This window comes from Homo sapiens, chromosome 17 (genome assembly GCF_000001405.40).
Source record: "Homo sapiens chromosome 17, GRCh38.p14 Primary Assembly".
Taxonomy (NCBI): Eukaryota; Metazoa; Chordata; class Mammalia; order Primates; family Hominidae; genus Homo; species Homo sapiens.
Window position 1 is genome coordinate 39,233,417 of NC_000017.11, and position 17,427 is coordinate 39,250,843.

Sequence of the window (17,427 nt, forward strand, 5' to 3'; positions counted from 1 at the left end):
CTACTAAAAATATAAAAAATTAGCCAGGTGTGGTGGCACGTGCCTGTAATCCTAGCTACTTGGGAGGCTGAGGCAGGAGAATTGCTTGAACTCGGGAGGTGGAGGTTGCAGTGAGCCGAGATCACGCCACTGCACTTCAGCCTGGGTGACAGAGTGAGACTCAAAAAAAAAAAAAATGTAGTTAGCCAGGCATGGTGGCTCAAGCACATAGTCCCAGCTACTTGGGAGTCTGAGGTAGGAGGATTGCTTGAGTGTGGGAGGTCGAGGCTGCAGTGAGCCATGATCGTGCCATTACACTCCAACCTGGGAGACAAAATGAGACCCTGTCTCTAAGAAAAATAAATAAAAGCCCACACATATGTATCCTGACGAGTGGGGCATAGAGCAGTAATTAAGAGCAGGGACTAGCCAGGCTTGGTGGATTACGCCTGTAATCCCAGCACTTTGGGAGGCCAAGGCAGGTGGATCACAAGTCAGGAGATCAAGACCATCCTGGCTAACACGGTGAAACCCTGTCTCTACTAAAAATACAAAAAATTAGCTGGGCATGGTGGCAGGTGCCTGTAGTCCCAGCTACTCGGGAGGCTGAGGCAGGAGAATGGCGTGAACCCGGGAGGTGGAGGTTGCAGTGAGCTGAGATCGCGCCACTGCACTCTAGCCTGGGTAACAGAGTGAGACTCTGCCTCAGAAAAAAAAAAAAAAGAGCAGGGACTGTGACTCAGATGGCCTGGGTTCAAATCCTGGCTCTGTTTCCTCCTAGCTGTGTGACCCTGGGCTAGCTACCTAACCTCTCTGAGTCTCAGTTTCCCCATCTATAGAATGGGGATCAATAATAGAGTAACAGAAAAAAAATAGTATCTACTACGTAAGAAAGTTTGAAAAGTAGTCTGAAGTCACACTGAGCACTGAAGAACAGCCTACTAAAGAAACAGACCTGGCTGGGCGCAGTGGCTCACACCTGTAATCCCAGCACTTAGGGAGGCCGAGGCAGGCAGATCACCTGAGGTCAGGAGTTCGAGACCAGCCTGACCAACATGGTGAAACCCCATCTCTACTGAAAATACAAAAATTAGCCAGGTGTGGTGGCAAGTGCCTATAATCCCAGGTACTGGGGAGGCTGAGGCAGGAGAATCGCTTGAACCTGAGATCATGCCACTGCACTCCAGCCTGTGCAGCAGAGCCAGACTCCGTCTCAAAAAAAAAAAAAAGAAAAAAAAGAAAAAAAGAAACAGGCCCTTGGCTGGGTATAGTGGCTCACACCTGTAATCCCAGCACCTGCACTTTGGGAGGCCAGGGCAGGTGGATCACCTAAGGTCAGGAGTTCAAGACCAGCCTGACCAACATGGTGAAAACCTGTTTCTACTAAAAATACAAAAATTAGCCAGGCATTGTGGCGGGCGCCTGTAGTCCCAGCTATTCAGGAGGCTGAGGCACAAGAATCGTTTTACCCAGAAGGTGGAGGGTGCAGTGAACTGAGATCACACCATTGCACTCTAGTCTGGGTAACAGAGCGAGACTCTGTCTCAAAAAAAAAAAAAGAAAGAAAGAAAAAGAAACAGACCCTCTATACTTAGAAGTGTTATACAAATAAACCTATATCCTTAAGTGTTAAATAAACCTTTGATGTACTAGGCCCTGGGGAAACGATGGAGTAAAGGGGAATATTTATTGAGGGCTCAATTATTGTCTTTACTTCTGGGGTAAAAGCTCTCATCATCCCCCTTATGCAGTTGCAACAAGAGGCTCAGAAAGGTTAAGTCACTTGCCCAAGGCCACACAGCTGGGCTTGAACTCTCAGAGTCCATCTCAAGAAACATGCTCTGGCTGGGCGCAGTGGCTCATGCCTGTAATCCCAGCACTTTGGGAGGCCAAGGCGGGCAGATCACCTGAGGTCAAGAGCTCGGGACCAGCCCGGCCAACATGGTGAAACTCTGTCTCTACTAAAAATACAAAAATTAGCTGGGCGTGGTCCATGTGCCTGTAATCCCAGCTACCCGGGAGGCTGAGGCACAAGAATCGCTTGAACCCGGGAGGCGGAGGTTGCTGTGAGCTGAGATCATGCCACTGCACTTCAGCCTGGGCGACAGAGTGAGACTTGGTCTCAAAAAAAAAAAAAAAAAACAAAAAGAAGGAAGAAAAGAAAATAAACGTGCTCTTAACCCCAACACTAGTGCACGTCTCTTAGTCCCTGCCCTCTGGGAGATTTCACTCTGGTGGGAAAAAAGACATTAGACAAAGTACGCAAACCTTCACTGCACGTTGGATAATTACCATGAAGGACCTTAGTAGAGCACTGCAAAGCCCAGAGACAGACGGGGAGAACATGAGCGTCAGCTGGAGGGTCTGTGGGAAGGGCTAAGAAGCAGGCAGCAAGTCTGAAATGTGAGCAAAGAGTCTTCCCCAGGAGAGACTTAAGGTGGTGCTAGAGAGGACCTCAGGTGGAAAAGACTGAGGGTTTGAGCCAGCCCTACTCACGGTCTAACTCCAGAGGGCGCTGTTCAGGGCAGATGGTGCCCTGTAAACTGTACCCGGAGGTGCCAGGGACATTTAGCTGGGACGGGGACCCTTCATCTCACTTCTGGGGTGGAGACATTTGTGTGCACAGATGCACAGACCACACAGTGATTGCCATATGGTATTGTCAGCTCTGTGTGTGTGTGTGTGTGTGTGTGTGTGTGTCCTGTAAGCGAAAAACATCCTACGTGCTCCAGTCTACCCCTTTCGTCATAATTTTGCCTGGAACTCAGGACTCAGCCCTTTTGACCACCCGCATGCGGGGAGCACGGGGTGCCTGAGCTCTGGATAGGGCAGGATTCTACCCACCCAGGTATCCTGAGAGACAGCCTGGCATACGGTAGGCACTCGAGAACAGTTTGTTGAATGAATGAATGAATGAATAGACAGCTTCCTCTCCCAGCCCATCCTTTCTTTGAGGGAGGGGCAAACTTCACTCTCCAGCTCTCCAGGTTGGAAAGGTGCCTGGGAATAGGAAACAAAACAAAATGTTTTGGCTGGAGTAGAAAAAGGCTCCAGCCCTGCTCAGACAGGCACGACTCCCCCCAGGCCAGCACCAAGCTACACAGGGACCCCTCCTACCCTCCTCTCCCCGTCTTCCTGGGATCCTGCTCTGCCCTCCCCAAGGTCTTGAGGGTGCCTCCCAGCCTGGAATCCAACTCAGGGCGTGGGGTAGGTCCTCACAGCCTTGGGGATAATGTATGGAGGGGACCTCAGGGCCTCTGGCTGCTTCTTTGGCCCTAGCAGCAGGAATGCCTCCATCACCCTGCTCCCCCATCCTCCCCACTTGGATTCCATCCAGACTCCTGGGGGAAGAAAGCCCGTGGGACCAAGTGCCAGGTGCCTGGAGATGCAGGTGGCAGAGCAGGGGACAGGCATCTCTTTGGCTCTGCCGCCCCCCAGGCAGGCCCCTCAGAATCTGGGAGCCTGGGTAGCTAGAGTCCCATGAGTCAGCCACATTTTAGTACCCCATCTCTGCTCTCTGCCCTAGTTCTGTTTATATCAAACACAGTAGTAGGAGGTGGGCAGGGGGCTGGGGCTGTCTGTGTACAGTGACAACATGTGCCCAGTGTGGAGAAAAAGGCCCACCCACAGGCTGACTGTATTTGTCCATAAACATGGCCTGCTCCAAGCCCCAGGGCAAGGAAGGGGCAAAAGGACCAGCCCCACTGGAGCTCCTGGGCTGCTCTAATGGGGAGCCCTCCTGGGCAAACCTCCCTCTCCTGGAAGCGCCACCCCCTGGAGTGTTTCCACAACAAGCTGGGCTGTGTTCTGTAAACTCCAGTCCCCTAGCTAGGTAGCCCCCAGCTAAAGGACAGGTGTCCTGCCACCAGTGCATGTGTGCGTATGTGTGTGTGTGTGTGTGTGTGTGTGTGGTCAGGCAGAGGAGGGAGGGAGGGCAGTGGGCATCAGAGGCCCTTTTGCAGGTCCCTGTGACGCTGTGTCTGCCTGTCCTGTCCCCTAGAGTGGACAGGCTTCTCCCGTGGCGTCAGGGGAGGGGCCGATCCCAGGGGTCTCCAGGATTCTGTGTGGCTTATGGATCTGGGGCCAATCTTGAAACCTGAGGGTGCCCCTCATTGCCCCTGGGCCTCTTGGGGACCAGTAGAGGACTGGACATCCATCCTTGTGACTTTGTTTTGCTGTACCCTCCCCTTCAAGTTAATGATTGCTGGGGAGCCCTTGGGACCCAGATCTTGATTCCCCCCAACCTGGGCTGCCCCCACAGGTCCGGAGTGTGCTAGAGCCCTGGGTGCTCAGCCAATAAGAGGCCCAGGCCCCGCCCCACCCTTTTGCGGGTGTGCTTCTGTGTATAAAGGTAGAGGCCCCAGGTGAGGGGCCAGTGGGTGCAGCCCAACCCCACGCTGAGCTGTTTCACAGCCGGCCCTGCCCCCTCTCCAAGATGCTGTTTTGGCACAACCAGCCGGAGCATCTATGGCCCAGTCCTGGGGACCTATACCCTGGGCCCCCCAGCAGCCTGCTCAGGTAAGGGCTGGATCCCCCAGGTCCCGGGGAAAGTGCTGGTCTGAAGTTGGAGTGGACATCATCCATTTCAAGCTGAGGGAAGTGGGGCTCCCATTCCCGGGCTCCTCTGGAGATGGGGAAGTGGTCAAATGTACCTGGAGTTCAGTGTGTCCTGGGACATCTCAAAAACACCCTGATCCCACTTAGGACATTTTTGTTGGGAATTTACTCAGTATCAGGCAAGCTTTGAGGTTGCAAAGACAAGTAATTGATGGCAGCTGTTGAGTAGAACAGCCACAAATCTGAGATCAGCACCTTCAGGGAGGCCTCCTGGAGGCCTGAGGAGCTGAATGGGGGTCCCTTTGGCCCTGGCTGCAGCTTGGGGACCTGCTACAGGAAACTGTGGGTTCCCCAGAGGGAAGGTCTGGCATAGAGAGTCAAAGACCTTTAGAAAAGGGGATGGACAGGGCAGAAAGCTGGCAGAGCCCTCCTCTTCCTGGCAGGGAGCCCCTGCCCTTGCCCTACTTGAAGCAGGAGGAGCTGCCCAACATCCCTGGCACGGAGCTGCCCTGCCCCATGTTCTAGTACGTGCTCTGTGCAGCCACCTCGCCAGCCGTGAAGCAGCAGGAGGAGACCCTCACCTACCTGAACCAGGGTATGCTAGGCCTGGGAGAGGGGAGGAGCTAGTGGGCAGTGAGCTCGGGAAGCTGGGCTCAGGGTGAGCTGGAGGTGGTAGGTGCCACTCTGCCCCTCAGAGTGGGGCTCACGCAACCCCTTAATCCCTCCCACGCCAGTCCTATGAGGTCCGGATGCTCTGCAGCTCCAAGCCGTGTGATGCCACCCAGTGCCCCCAGCTGCTGAAGGTGGGTACACTCCTCCCCGGAAGTGGCAAAGGCTGGGTATGACTGTTTCTCTGGGCAAGAAGCCAATGTCATCACAGTGATATCATCGTCACGGAGAACCCTCTCACGTCCGTCATTTAATTGGACCCTCACAACAGCTCCGTGGTGGGCAAGAATTGAAGAAACAGGCACAGAGAAGTTAAGTGTTTTCTCAAGGACACAGAGCCAGCAAGTAGCAGAACTGAGATTTAGAAACACATTTACACAGTGTAGGCTGGCCACAGTGGCTCACGCCTGTAATCCCAGCACTTTGGGAGGCTGAGGCGGGCGCATCACCTGAGGTCAGGAGTTCAAGACCAGCCATGGTGAAACCCCGTCTCTACTAAAAATGCAAAAATTACCTGGGCATGGTGGTGCACACCTGTAATCCCAGGTACTCGGGAGGCTGAGGCATGAGAATGGCTTGAACCCAGGAAGCAGAGGGTGCAGTGAGCAAAGATCGCACCACTACACTCCAGCCTGAGCAACAAAGCAGACTCTGTCTCAAAAAAATAATAATAATAAAAATAAAATTAGAAATATATTTACACAGTGTTATTCACACACATGACCTTTTCTCAAAAAATTACCTATTTAGCCCCCATTCTATGCCAGAAAATGTTCCATGAGCTAGGGATTCATCAGTAATGAGACAGATGTGGCTCCCTTCCTCAGGAGGCTTGCATTCTACTAAGACAAACAAGTAATTACACATATTCTGTGAAATGACCAACAGTGACATGTTGCAAAGAAATGGGTGGCGTGCCTAGGGTGGGAAGGCATTAACTCCCCCTTTTTACAGATGAGGAAACTGAGGCTCAGGGTCTCTAGATTACTTCTCTGGTTCACAGTCGTGAGTGGCAGATGGGCATTTGAACACGCATTGGTGATTCTAAGTCCTAATGCCTCCTGGGGTAGGAAGGGAGGTGTGGGAAGGTCAGCCTACACAGGTGTGAAAACTGGGTCCTCAATGCTGGCGTCCTCTGACTGTGCGCCACGCCCTCCTGTGGCTGCAGAGTGTGGTGCAGGTGATGTTCCACGACCCGCACCTGCAGTACACAGAGCAGCAGCGGCAGCTGGCTGGGTGGAGGTGGAGCCGGGCCCAGGGACCGCATCCTGGACATCGATGAGTGGGGAAAGGCCGGGGGCCCTTCGAGCCTGAGCTCTGGCTCAGGAGTCCTTGTGGACTGGGAAGGCTGAGCCTGGCTCCCTGCTTGCCACCCTGTGCCTGCAGATGTGCCACTGTCCGTGGGAGTGATAGAACCCCAAGTGCTGCTCTCACAACTCAACATGGTGGAGTTTCACTGGGACCCAACAAAGAGGACATCTCTCTTCCTGCAGGTGAGCCTGAAGCTGGGCCTGGGAAAAGGCTGGAGGTCAGAAGGGGGTGGCAACCGTGTAGGTGGAAAAGGAAGGTGAGTTTGGGCAGGGGTGAGGGGAAAATAAGAATGACTCTCGGCCAGGTGCGAAAAAAAAGGATATATATTTTTTCTTTGCTTTTTTTTTTTTTTTTTTTGAGATGGAGTTTCACTCTTGTTGCCCAGGCTGAAGCGCAATGGCATGATCTCGGCGCACCACAACCTCCACCTCCCCGCTTCAAGCAATTCTCCTACCTCAGCCTCCTGAGTAGCTGGGATTACAGGCATGCGCCATCATGCCCGTCTAATTTTGTATTTTTAGTAGAGACAGGGTTTCTCCATGTTGGTCAGGCTGGTCTTGAACTCTCAACCTCAGGTGATCCACCCACCTCAGCCTCCCAAAGTGCTGGGATTACAAGACTGACCCACCGTGCCTGCCTTACCACTTCTTAGCATGGATCTTACCCAGGTCCTGTAGCCTCTGTGAGCCTTAGTTTCCTCACTCTAAAGTTGGACTCTTTCACTGTTTTTCACGGGATTATGGGCAGGCTACTGTGAGTACTGGGTGTGAAGAGAGAAGATGCTGCTTACCCTTAGAATCCTGGTGCCAGGCCAAACACAGAGGCTGCAGGCTGCTCGGGGTGGCAGGCCTGAAAGGCTTCCTGGAGTGGATTGGCAGATTTAGCAAATAAAATATAGGATGCTCAAATTTGAATTTTACTTTATTTTTATTTATATTTATTTATTTATTTTTGAGACAGAGTCGCCCAGGCTGGAGTGCAATGGCGCGGTCTGGGCTCACTGCTGCAACCTCTGCCTCCCAGGTTCAGGTGATTCTCCTGTCTCAGCCTCCTGAGTAGCTGGGATTACAGCACAGGCCACCATGCCCAGATAATTTTTGTATTTTTAGTAGAGACAGGGTTTCACCATGTTGGCCAGGCTGGTCTCAAACTCCTGACCTCAGGTGATTCTCCTGCCTCAACCTCCCAAAGTTCTGGGATTACAGGCATGAGCCACTGTTCCCCATTTTATTTATTTATTTTGAAACAGAGTGTTGCTTTGTTGCCCAGGCTGGAGTACAGTGGTGTGATCCCAACTCACTGCAACCTCTGTCTCCCAGTTTCAAGTGATTCTCCTGCCTCAGCCTCCCAAGTAGCTGGGATTACAGGAGCATGCCACCATACCCAGCTAATTTTTGTATTTTAGTAGAGAGATGGGGGGTCTTATCATGTTGGCCAGGCTGGTCTTGAACTCCTGACCTCAAGTGAACTGCCCGCCTCAGCCTCCCAAAGTGCTGGGATTACAGGCGTGAGCCACTGCACCCAGCATTATTATTTTAAATTATTGTTTTTTTTATATAGAGAGGGTCTCACTCTGTCACCTAGACTGGAGTACAGTGATGCAATCATAGCTCACTGCAGCCTGGAACTCCTGGGTATAGGCAATCCTCCTGCCTCAGCCTCCCGAGTAACTGGGACTATAGGCATGTGCCACTAGGCCCAGCTAATTCTTAAATTTTTTTGTAGAGGTGAGGTCTCACTCTGTTGCCCAGGCTGGCCTCAAACTCCCGGCCCAAAGCGATCCTCTTGCCTCTGTCTCCTGCTGTGTGCTGGGATTATAGGTGTGAGCCACCACACCAGCCAAATTTAAATTTTAAATGTTTTTTAAAACAAAGTCTCTTGAACCCAGGAGGCAGAGCTTGCAGTGAGCCGAGATTGCACCACTGCACTCCAGCCTGGGCGACAGAGGGAGACTCCGTCTCAAAAAAAAAAAGAAAAAAAAAATTTTTTTAGTATAAGTATATTCCATGCAATAGTTGAGATACACTTACACTAAAAATTATTTGTTGTTCATCTGAGATTCAAACTTTACTAGGCATCCTGTATTTTATCTGGCCGCTCAACTACCCTTGAAGGGGATGTCTTAGCTCAGATGTGAGTAGGGGAGCTTTCTGGGTAGAGGCCTCTGGGGAAAACTGCAGGTGTGTTGGGGTCCTGATTAGGGAGGCAGGGTGGGTCAGTGGGTTCACTGACGGATGAGAAAGAGCAGCCGTGCAGCAATGCTTGACTTGACTCTTTAAGGTGATCCAATACCAGGGTTAGGAACTTTGCTTCTGGTCTCACAACCATGGGGAGCCATTGAAGGATTTTGACCAAGGGAAAGAACGTAGTAAAGTGATGCTTTAAGAATGGAAACTTGGGGCCGGGTGCGCTGGCTCACGCCTGTAATCCCAGCACTTTGGGAGGCCGAGGCGGGTGGATCACGACACAAGGTCAGGAGATCAAGACCATCCTGGCTAACACGGTGAAACTCCGTCTCTACTAAAAATACAAAAAATTAGCCGGGCGTAGTGGTGGGCGCCTGTAGTCCCAGCTACTTGGGAGGCCGAGGCTGGAGAATGGTGTGAACTTGGGAGGCGGAGCTTGCAGTGAACCAGCCTGACCAACATGGAGAAACCGTCTCTACTAAAAATACAAAATTAGCTGGGTGTGGTGGCACATGCCTGTAATCCCAGCTACTCGGGAGACTGAGGCAGGAGAATTGCTTGAACCCGGGAGGTAGAGGTTGCTGTGAGCCGAGATCACGCCATTGCACTCCAGCCTGGGCAAAAAAAAAAGAATGGAAGCTTGGCCGGGAGCTATGGTTCATGACAGTAATCCCAGCACTTTGGGAGGCCGAGGCGGGGGGATCACTTGAGGTCATGAGTTTGAGACCAGCCTGGCCAACATGATGAAACCCCCATCTCTACTAAAAATACAAAAATTAGCTGGGCATGGTGGCATGCGCCGGTAGTCCCAGCTATTCCAGAGGCTGAGGCAAGAGAATCGCTTGAACCTGAGAGGCGGAGGTTGCAGTGAGCCAAGATCACACCATTGCACTCCAGCCTGGGTGACAGAGCAAGACCCCGTCTCAAAAAATAAAATAGAATGGACACTGGTTGGGGATGGAAAGTTGCTGTCGTAGTATGTGGCTGACAGGTGGCAGGCGGGTAACGGGTTTTGGGTGGACTCCCTTGCATGTGGGTGGATCTGGAGTCGCCCTGTTTTCTCTGTTTCTTCTCCATCTCAGTTCACACCTCGGAAGAAAGGTGGAGAGAAAGGCATCCCTTTCCGCCTCCAGATCGACACCTTCAGGCCCAGTGACAAGGGGCTGCCGCTAGACCACCTGCACTCAGCTGGCTGCCTCATCAAGGTGTTTAAGGTACAGGCAGCAATGGGGCCCATTTTCCTCTCTCTCAGGGCTGTCACCTGGCCTCGCCGGCTGTGTGGGTTCTGGCCCCACGTTGCTGTGGATCCTCAGCCTGCTGTGCCCCATCTCTTGGACTGTTTCCTTTTCTGTACACAGAGGGATGGGGCTTGGTCTCTGTCTCACAGCCAATCCAACAGAGCCACTGAAGAGAGGCAGGCAGGTAAAGAAAGAGTCTTTGGGCCGGGCGCGGTGGCTCACGCCTGTAATCCCAGCACTTTGGGAGGCTGAGGTAGGTGGATCACAAGGTCAAGAGGTCGAGACAAGCCTGGCCAATAGGGTGAAACCCCATCTCTACTAAAAATACAAAAATTAGCCGGGCGTGGTGGCACGAGCCTGTAATCCCAGCTACTCGGGAGGCTGAGGCAGGAGAATCGCTTGAACTCAGGAGGCGGAGGTTGCGGTGAGCTGAGATCGCGCCACTGCACTCTAACCTGCACAACGGAGCGAGACTGCAGCTCAAAAAAAAAAAAAAAAAAAAAAAGAAAAGAAAGGAGCCTGAGGCTTTCCTCATCATCCTCCTGCAGCACAAAGGAGCGGAAACTGAAAATGGACCGTGAGAAGATGGAGAAACAGCCCCTGCATGAGAGGGACAAGTATCAGACCGCCTGCGAGAGCACTGTCTTCTTGGAGGTGTGTGTGTTGGGGCGAGAGCAGGAGGGGAGAGTTGGAGAAAAGATCCTCACGGTACAGATGGGGAAATGGAGGCCTCCAGGGCTCTGACTGCTGCAAGCCCATCACAGCCCCCTGGGGACTCCACCACTTCCTGCAAAGGACACTCTCTGCCCTGTCTGTGGTTGTTGAAGCTTCCAGGAGCTGACGCCCTCCAGGCTGCCTGTCCTACGCGGGCCATCGCCACCTCCTTCCTTGTGTGCTCCCTCTGCCTGGCCCCCTCCTCCTCCTGCTGCTCCTCCTGGCCAGCTCCTCCAAGGCCCTTCCTCACTGCCCCAGGCCCGCCGGGTGGTTAACTTCTTCCTTCCTGTGGAAACCCAGTCCACTTGTCAGGCCCCTGGTCAGCTCTTAATATACAGGTGGAGAGAAGGGAGCAATGACCAGCCTTGCTGTGTGTTTGCCTGCAGTGTTCGCCATGGCCGGAGTCCCCTGCAAGGCCCCGGCCACCTCTCAGCTCTCTGGCTCTGACCTCTCCCCACTCCTGCAGGCTCTTGTCCCCAGAAAGGTGAGGCAGGATGAGCACCTCCTGTCAGCCCTTTGGGGTGAGAGTGAAGAAAAGAGCTCCCAGCCCAGGCATGGAGCAAAGGGCAGGGCTGGGGATTGGTGGGGAATTTGTGGGGTGAGGACAGGAGCAAGCTCTGTGTCCCAGGGCAGGCCTGGAGGAAGGGTGTTGGTGGAGGGAGACTGGCTGTAATGCTCCGCAGAGTTCTTGAACCTTTGCTCCTCCTCATAGGCTCTGTTCCTCACCACCATTCGCTCTGGATACCTTGGGGTGTAGCCCAGTTGAGGTGAGCCTTCCCCTTCCCACTCTCCACTGTCCCAAAGCCTTCTCCGCAGCTTCATCTCAAGCTCCAGAATGGAGTGGCCCTGCCCCCTGGTGGCCAGATGTGATATGGCCATAGATTGTAACTTACCTGATAAGACTGGGCAGGAAGAGCCTCCCTTCTCAGACTTGGGACCTCCCAAGGGAGGGGCTGTTTCCCTTTCTTGTTCTGTCCCTGGGTCCTGGTATTACCTGGACCATCCATTTTATACCTCAGGATCTGAACCAAAAAGCCCCCATCTCAGAGACACAGCAATGGTTGCATCAGCACTGGTTCTCCAGCTACTGCCGGATGCTGGCCAACTTCACTGGTGAGGCTAGTGTCTGGCAGGAGCCAGACCTGTAGGGGACTGAGAGTGGGTGGGACACACAGGCAGGAAGCCTGTCTCTGTCCTGGCTTGTTGTGGGCCCTTCAACTAACATTTACTGGGGACTAAGAGTTGCCCAGCATTGTGCTAGGCTCTCGTCTCACGAATTATCCCATATAATTTATACACTATTCCTTGAGGACAGTGCCCAGAGAGGTTAAATAACTTGCCCAAGGACACACAGCTAACAAGTGGCAGAACTGGCATTTAAATCCAAGCCTGACTCCCATATCTGAGCACACTAGGGCTATTTGTAGACTAATAGACTGTGTCCCTTACTTCCCACCCTTGATCCCAGGCCTCTTTCCTCAGTCTGGCCCTGTCTGACTCTACAGGTCTGGATCTGCTGAAGCTTACATGCCAGGACCTTATCCAAATCTGCGGGGCTGCTGATGGGATCCGCCTTTTCAATACTCTTAGAGCCAGGTGCTGGACACTGCCAACCAGGGTCCCCTTCCCACTGTAGTGGCCCTTACTAACTTAGCTAGCAGGTATGTTTCATACAATTTTTTTTTTAATATGGAGTTTCACTCTTGTTGCCCAGGCTGGAATGCAATGGCGCAATCTTGGCTCACTGCAACCTCTGCCTCAGGTTCAAGTGATTATCCTGCCTCAGCCTCCTGAGTAGCTGGGATTACAGGCGTCTGCCACCATGCCTGGCCAATTTTTTTTTTTTTTTTTTTTTTGAGACGGAGTCTTTTGCCCAGGCCGGACTGCAGTGGCACTATCTCGGCTCACTGCAAGCTCCGCCTCCTGGGTTCACGCCATTTTCCTGCCTCAGCCTCCCGAGTAGCTGGGACTACAGGCGCCTGCCACCGCGCCCGTCTAATTTTTTGTATTTTTAGTAGAGACGGGGTTTCACCACGTTCGTCAGGCTGGTCTTGAACTCCTGACCTCAGGTGATCCACCTGCTTTGGCCTCCCAAAGTGCTGGGATTACAGGAGTGAGCCACTGCACCCGGCTCATACAATGTTTAAGCCAGAAGTCACCTTAAAGACCACTTAGTCCCACTCCCTCTTTTTACAGAAGAAACTCAGGCCCAAGAAGGACAGTGACCAGTCTGAGGTCACAACCCAAAGCTGGCAGGGCTGGGGTGAAAAGCTAGGCTCCTGTGACCTCCTTCTGTGGCCATCCCACCTGCCTCATTCCATTTCTGGGGATAGAGATGTCTGTGGGGTTTTTTCCTCCCCATTTTTTCTCCCCCTAGTGTCCAGCATTCGTTAAATACCTAAGAACTACTTAGTGACCTCCCTCCCTCGAGACCTGGGAGGAGGCTGGGATCTCTCCTAGGATGGGGGCTAGAAGTGGGAGCTGTTAGTTCAGGTATAAGACTGATACATAGACTGTTTTCCTGGCCCAGGCCCATCTGTCACCAACTGACTTTGTATGTGGCTCAGGAGACCTCTAGGCAAGGGAACGAGGTTCCTAAGAACCCTGACTCAGGTGAGGTTCTGGCCTCTCTCTCCAGAACATAGGAAATTCAGGTGTAGCTGCATGAAACCTCTCCCTAGAAGAGGAATGGTGATACCCCACCATTCCTGGGACCCAGGATGCCCTTCTTGGCATTTCCCTACCTTCCATGACCAGATTAGTCCCTCTCCTTCCAGAATGTCTCCTTGGGTTTATTCACCATGTTCTACTCCTCCACCCCACCTGATCGTCACTGCATTAGCATATGGGATTAGAACATCATCTTGTTATGTACTTGGGTCCCAGTCACTAATATGTGGGTGTCCTGTCTTTAAACTGGGGGTTCCCCTCAGACACCTCCCAAAAGATGAGGGATGAGAGGTGAAGTAGACTTTTTTCTTTTTTTTTTTTTTTTGAGACGGAGTCTCACTCTGTTGCCCAGGCTGGAGTGCAGTGGCGCGATCTCAGCTCACTGCAACTTCTGCCACCCAGGTTCAAGAGATTCTCCTGCCTCAGCCTCCCAAGTAGTTGGGATTACAGGAGCCTGCCACCATGCCCAGCTAATTTTTGTAGTTTTTAGTAGAGATGGGGTTTCACCATCTTGGCCAGGCTGGTCTTGAACTCCTGACCTCGTGATCCACCCCTCGGCCTCCCAAAGTGCTGGGATTACAGGCATGAGCCACCACACCCAGCCAACTTTTCCCTCTTTACTTCTCCTCCCCCCACCCCATAGCCATCTTCCTGGCACCCCTGGTTTCCTGTGGGCACATCTCTGGACTCCCTTCCCCTGCTGACCCCTGCCTCTGTGTTGCCCATGCCCCCAGACTTTTATCAAGAGATCTCTCTGGATGAACTCAGTGCTGTAGAGCTGATGGGGAAACTGGCTGAGCTCTGGCCATCCCAGCCAATCAGATCCATCACCTTTTCCACCAGGGCACCGGGGGCATCTTCATTCTCCTCAGTGACCAGATAAAGGGCAGCCATTTCCTGTCGCAAATCCCCACGGAGGCCTCGCTAACACTTCTGCCTCAGATTAAGCTTTCTTTTCCATGGCATGGCTTGTTCTCTTTGGCTCCAATAACAAAATTGCCTTTGTGCCCGCTTCACTCTTACAGGTGGTCCAGAATTTTAAGGACGAATCATACTTTGTGGCTGTGGTGAAAAAAGGGATTTTAGAGGCAGAGGAGTGTGCCTGGCTGGCCCTATAAAGGGGGATAAGAGTGTGCTGAGCATATATTCCGTCTCCTAAATGAGACTAAAAGGCTCTTTGGGGGCCAGGCGCAGTGGCTCATGCCTGTAATCCCAGCACTTTGGGAGGCTGAGGCAGGTGGATCACTTGAGGACAGGAATTCAAAACCAGCCTGGCCAACATGGCAAAACCCCATCTCTATAAAAAATACAAAAAACTACCCGGGCGTGCTGGCACGTGCCCGTGGTCCCAGCTACTTGGGAGGCTGAGGCAGGAGAATCCCTTGAACCCAGGAGGCAGAGGTTGCAGTGAACCGAGATTGCCCCACTGCACTCCAGCCTGGGTGACAGAGCGAGTCTGTCTCAAACGTCTCAAAAACAAACAAACAAACAAAAAACCTCTTTGAAGGGGATTAAGGGGATGTGTCCCAATTAACTAGCAAACACCTGTGAATGCCAGCTTTGTGTCAAGGGGAGAGGGATTTGTATAGCTAAAAGATATTTATTGCTTAGGAAAAACATGACTGAATAAATGCATCCTCATTAAATAAAAAATGCTCCAGTTTCTGTTGTCAGGGAGTTTATTAGAGGGAAAGGTAAGGCCCCCACTTTTCTCCACCTGCCCCTGGCATGATACAAGGCAGAAGGGCAGGTGCTTCCTGGACATCATCTGGCATAGGGCACCTCTGACTAGTCTGCTTGGCATCTGGTTATTCAGATGTTTGCCTTCCACCCCTCCACATGCCAGAGCTGGTCAGCTTGGCTTATGTACACAAGGGGGTAGGAAGAGGTAGATGTGAAGTCGGGTTTTAAGACACGTGTGGCCGGGCGTGGTGGCTCACACCTGTAACCCCAGCACTTTGGGAGGCCGAGGTGGGCAGATCATGAGGTCAGGAGTTCAAGACCAGCCTGGCCAAAATGGTGGAACCCCATCTCTACTAAAAATACAAAAATTAGCCAGGCGTGGTGGCGGGCACTTGTAATCCCAGCTCCTCGGGAGGCTGAGGCAGGAGAATCGCTGGAACCCGGGAGGTGGAGGTTGCAGTGAACTATCGTGCTACTGCACTCCAGCCTGGGTGACGAGCGAAACTTCACCTCAAAAAAAGAAATAAAACAAAAAAACACTTGGGTGTGCCAGACGCATTGTAGGCTGCTTGGAGGGTGAGGACCTGACTGGTCCTGCTGGTGCCTTTTTACTGCTTTCGGTGCAGAATCCAGATGGCTACTACTTGGTTCTGACCTAGGCCAGGGGAACTCCACTGCTCAAGAGACTGATAGCTTGTCTTCACCAGAAACCTTGTTAAAACACTTGGCTGACTCAACAGGCTCCAGGTGAGCCAAAGTATCTTGCATCTCACCCCGAGAGGAGGCAAGTAGCCTCCAGCTTCACTTTTCTTTCTGGTCAGCAGCAATGGCTGTTGGAAGTCTTCCTTACCCATTCGTTCTTCTGAGCTGGCCAAGTTTATGAGGCAAAAAAAAAAAAAAAAAAACTGGCAATGTGGAAAGAGCTTTTGCCATGAGCAGTGTTGGCTGGTGATCACTGAGAGTGTTAATTCATTTAAAAATTTTAAGCCCTTTTTAAATTAAAAGTTAATTTTTAAAAGGTATATACACTTAATGTGTTGTCCAATGTGTTGAACATTTAATGTGGTGTTCAGTTTTCTTGGCTTTATTGTCCCCAAGGGGAAATGTCTTCTGCTTAAACTATAAACTAGGGCAAAGGATGGGGTCTGGAACAAGGGAATAAATCAATCCAGCTGGATCTTTTTTTCACAATTAGTTTGGGCAAAACTAATTACTAAAGCCTCCAAAAGACCATTCAATATTCAAATCACTGTACCTACTAAAAAACTCAGTTCTAAGAGATTTAGGAAATACTATAGCTATTATCTAGAATTGAGGCTATGGGGCTTTTAGAAAAAAAAATTTAGACATATTGTTTCCTTAGTTTTAAGAGATGAGGTCTCTGTTGTCCAGACTGGTCTTGAACTCTTGGTGTCAAGTGATCCTTCCATCTAAACTCTCAGTAGCTGGGATTATAGGTGTGCACCACTGTGCTTGACTTTTTTTTTTTTTTTACCTTAAATTTTATTAATCTTTCCCTAAAGTCATAAATTTAATTTTTTTTTTTTTTTTGAGATGGGAGTCTTGCTCTGATGCCCAGAGGTAGAGTGCAATGGTGCAATCAATCTGGGCTCACTGCAACCTCCACCTCTAGGATTCAAGCAATTCTCCTGCCTCAGCTTCCCGCATAGCTGGGATTACATGCTTGCACCACCACGCCCAGCTAATTTTTGCATTTTTGGTAGAGATGAGTTTCATCACGTTGGCCAGGCTGGTCTCAAACTCCTGACATCGTGATCCGCCTGCCTCAGCCTCCCAAAGTGCTGGGGTTACAGGCGTGAGCCACCGTGCCTGGCCTACTTTTTTTTTTTTTTAATTTATAAAGAAAAGAGGCTCTTTTTTGGCCGGGCGTGGTGGCTTACACCTGTAGTTCCAGCACTTTGGGAGGCTGAGGTGGGCGGATCACCAGTGGTCGGGAGTTCGAGATCAGCCTAGCTAACATGGTGAAACCCTGTCTCTATAAAATATACAAAATTAGCTGGGCATGGTGGTGTGTGCCTGTAATCCCAGCTATTTGAGAGGCTGAGGCAGGAGAATCTCTTGAACCCGGGAGGCAGAGGTTGCAGTGAGCCCCGGGGTTGGTCTCCAAAAGAAAAAAAAAAAGGTTTGACTCAGTTTTGCTTTTCACGTTTAGGTCAGTAACCAACTGAAATTGATTTTTGTGTATCTTGCAGGTAGGAATCTAGTCCTCTTTTTCCATACAGAAAACCACTTTTTTTTTTTTTTTTTTTTCCTGAGATGGAGTTTCGCTCTTTTGCCCAGGCTGGAGTGAAGTGGTGAAGTGGCACGATCTCAGTTACCGCACCAGGCCCAGAAAACCACTTTTATATTAAACAGTAAACGCTTTCTTAAAAGACAAATGGTATCAGGTCATATCTTAA

The 17,427-nt window shown here is 51.4% G+C and overlaps 1 pseudogene across 1 annotated transcript, besides 1 other annotated feature; it reads left to right on the plus strand.

Moving 5' to 3' along the window:
* Positions 1 to 4,353: 4,353 nt before the first annotated feature.
* On the plus strand, positions 4,354 to 12,388 carry LOC101929578 (transcription factor CP2-like; annotated as a pseudogene). Its single transcript, NR_164152.1, has 10 exons — positions 4,354 to 4,497; positions 4,980 to 5,131; positions 5,271 to 5,339; positions 6,592 to 6,698; positions 9,785 to 9,916; positions 10,489 to 10,594; positions 11,041 to 11,138; positions 11,367 to 11,421; positions 11,674 to 11,767; positions 12,160 to 12,388. The product of NR_164152.1 is annotated as a transcription factor CP2-like (transcript).
* Positions 10,938 to 11,512: an enhancer, noted in NCBI's record as "H3K4me1 hESC enhancer chr17:37400607-37401181 (GRCh37/hg19 assembly coordinates)". NCBI's record gives its function as "activates a minimal SCP1, AML or CMV promoter by ChIP-STARR-seq in naive H9 embryonic stem cells {active_cell/tissue: H9 hESC(naive)}" and the evidence as "EXISTENCE:reporter gene assay evidence [ECO:0000049][PMID:30033119]".
* Positions 12,389 to 17,427: the final 5,039 nt, after the last annotated feature.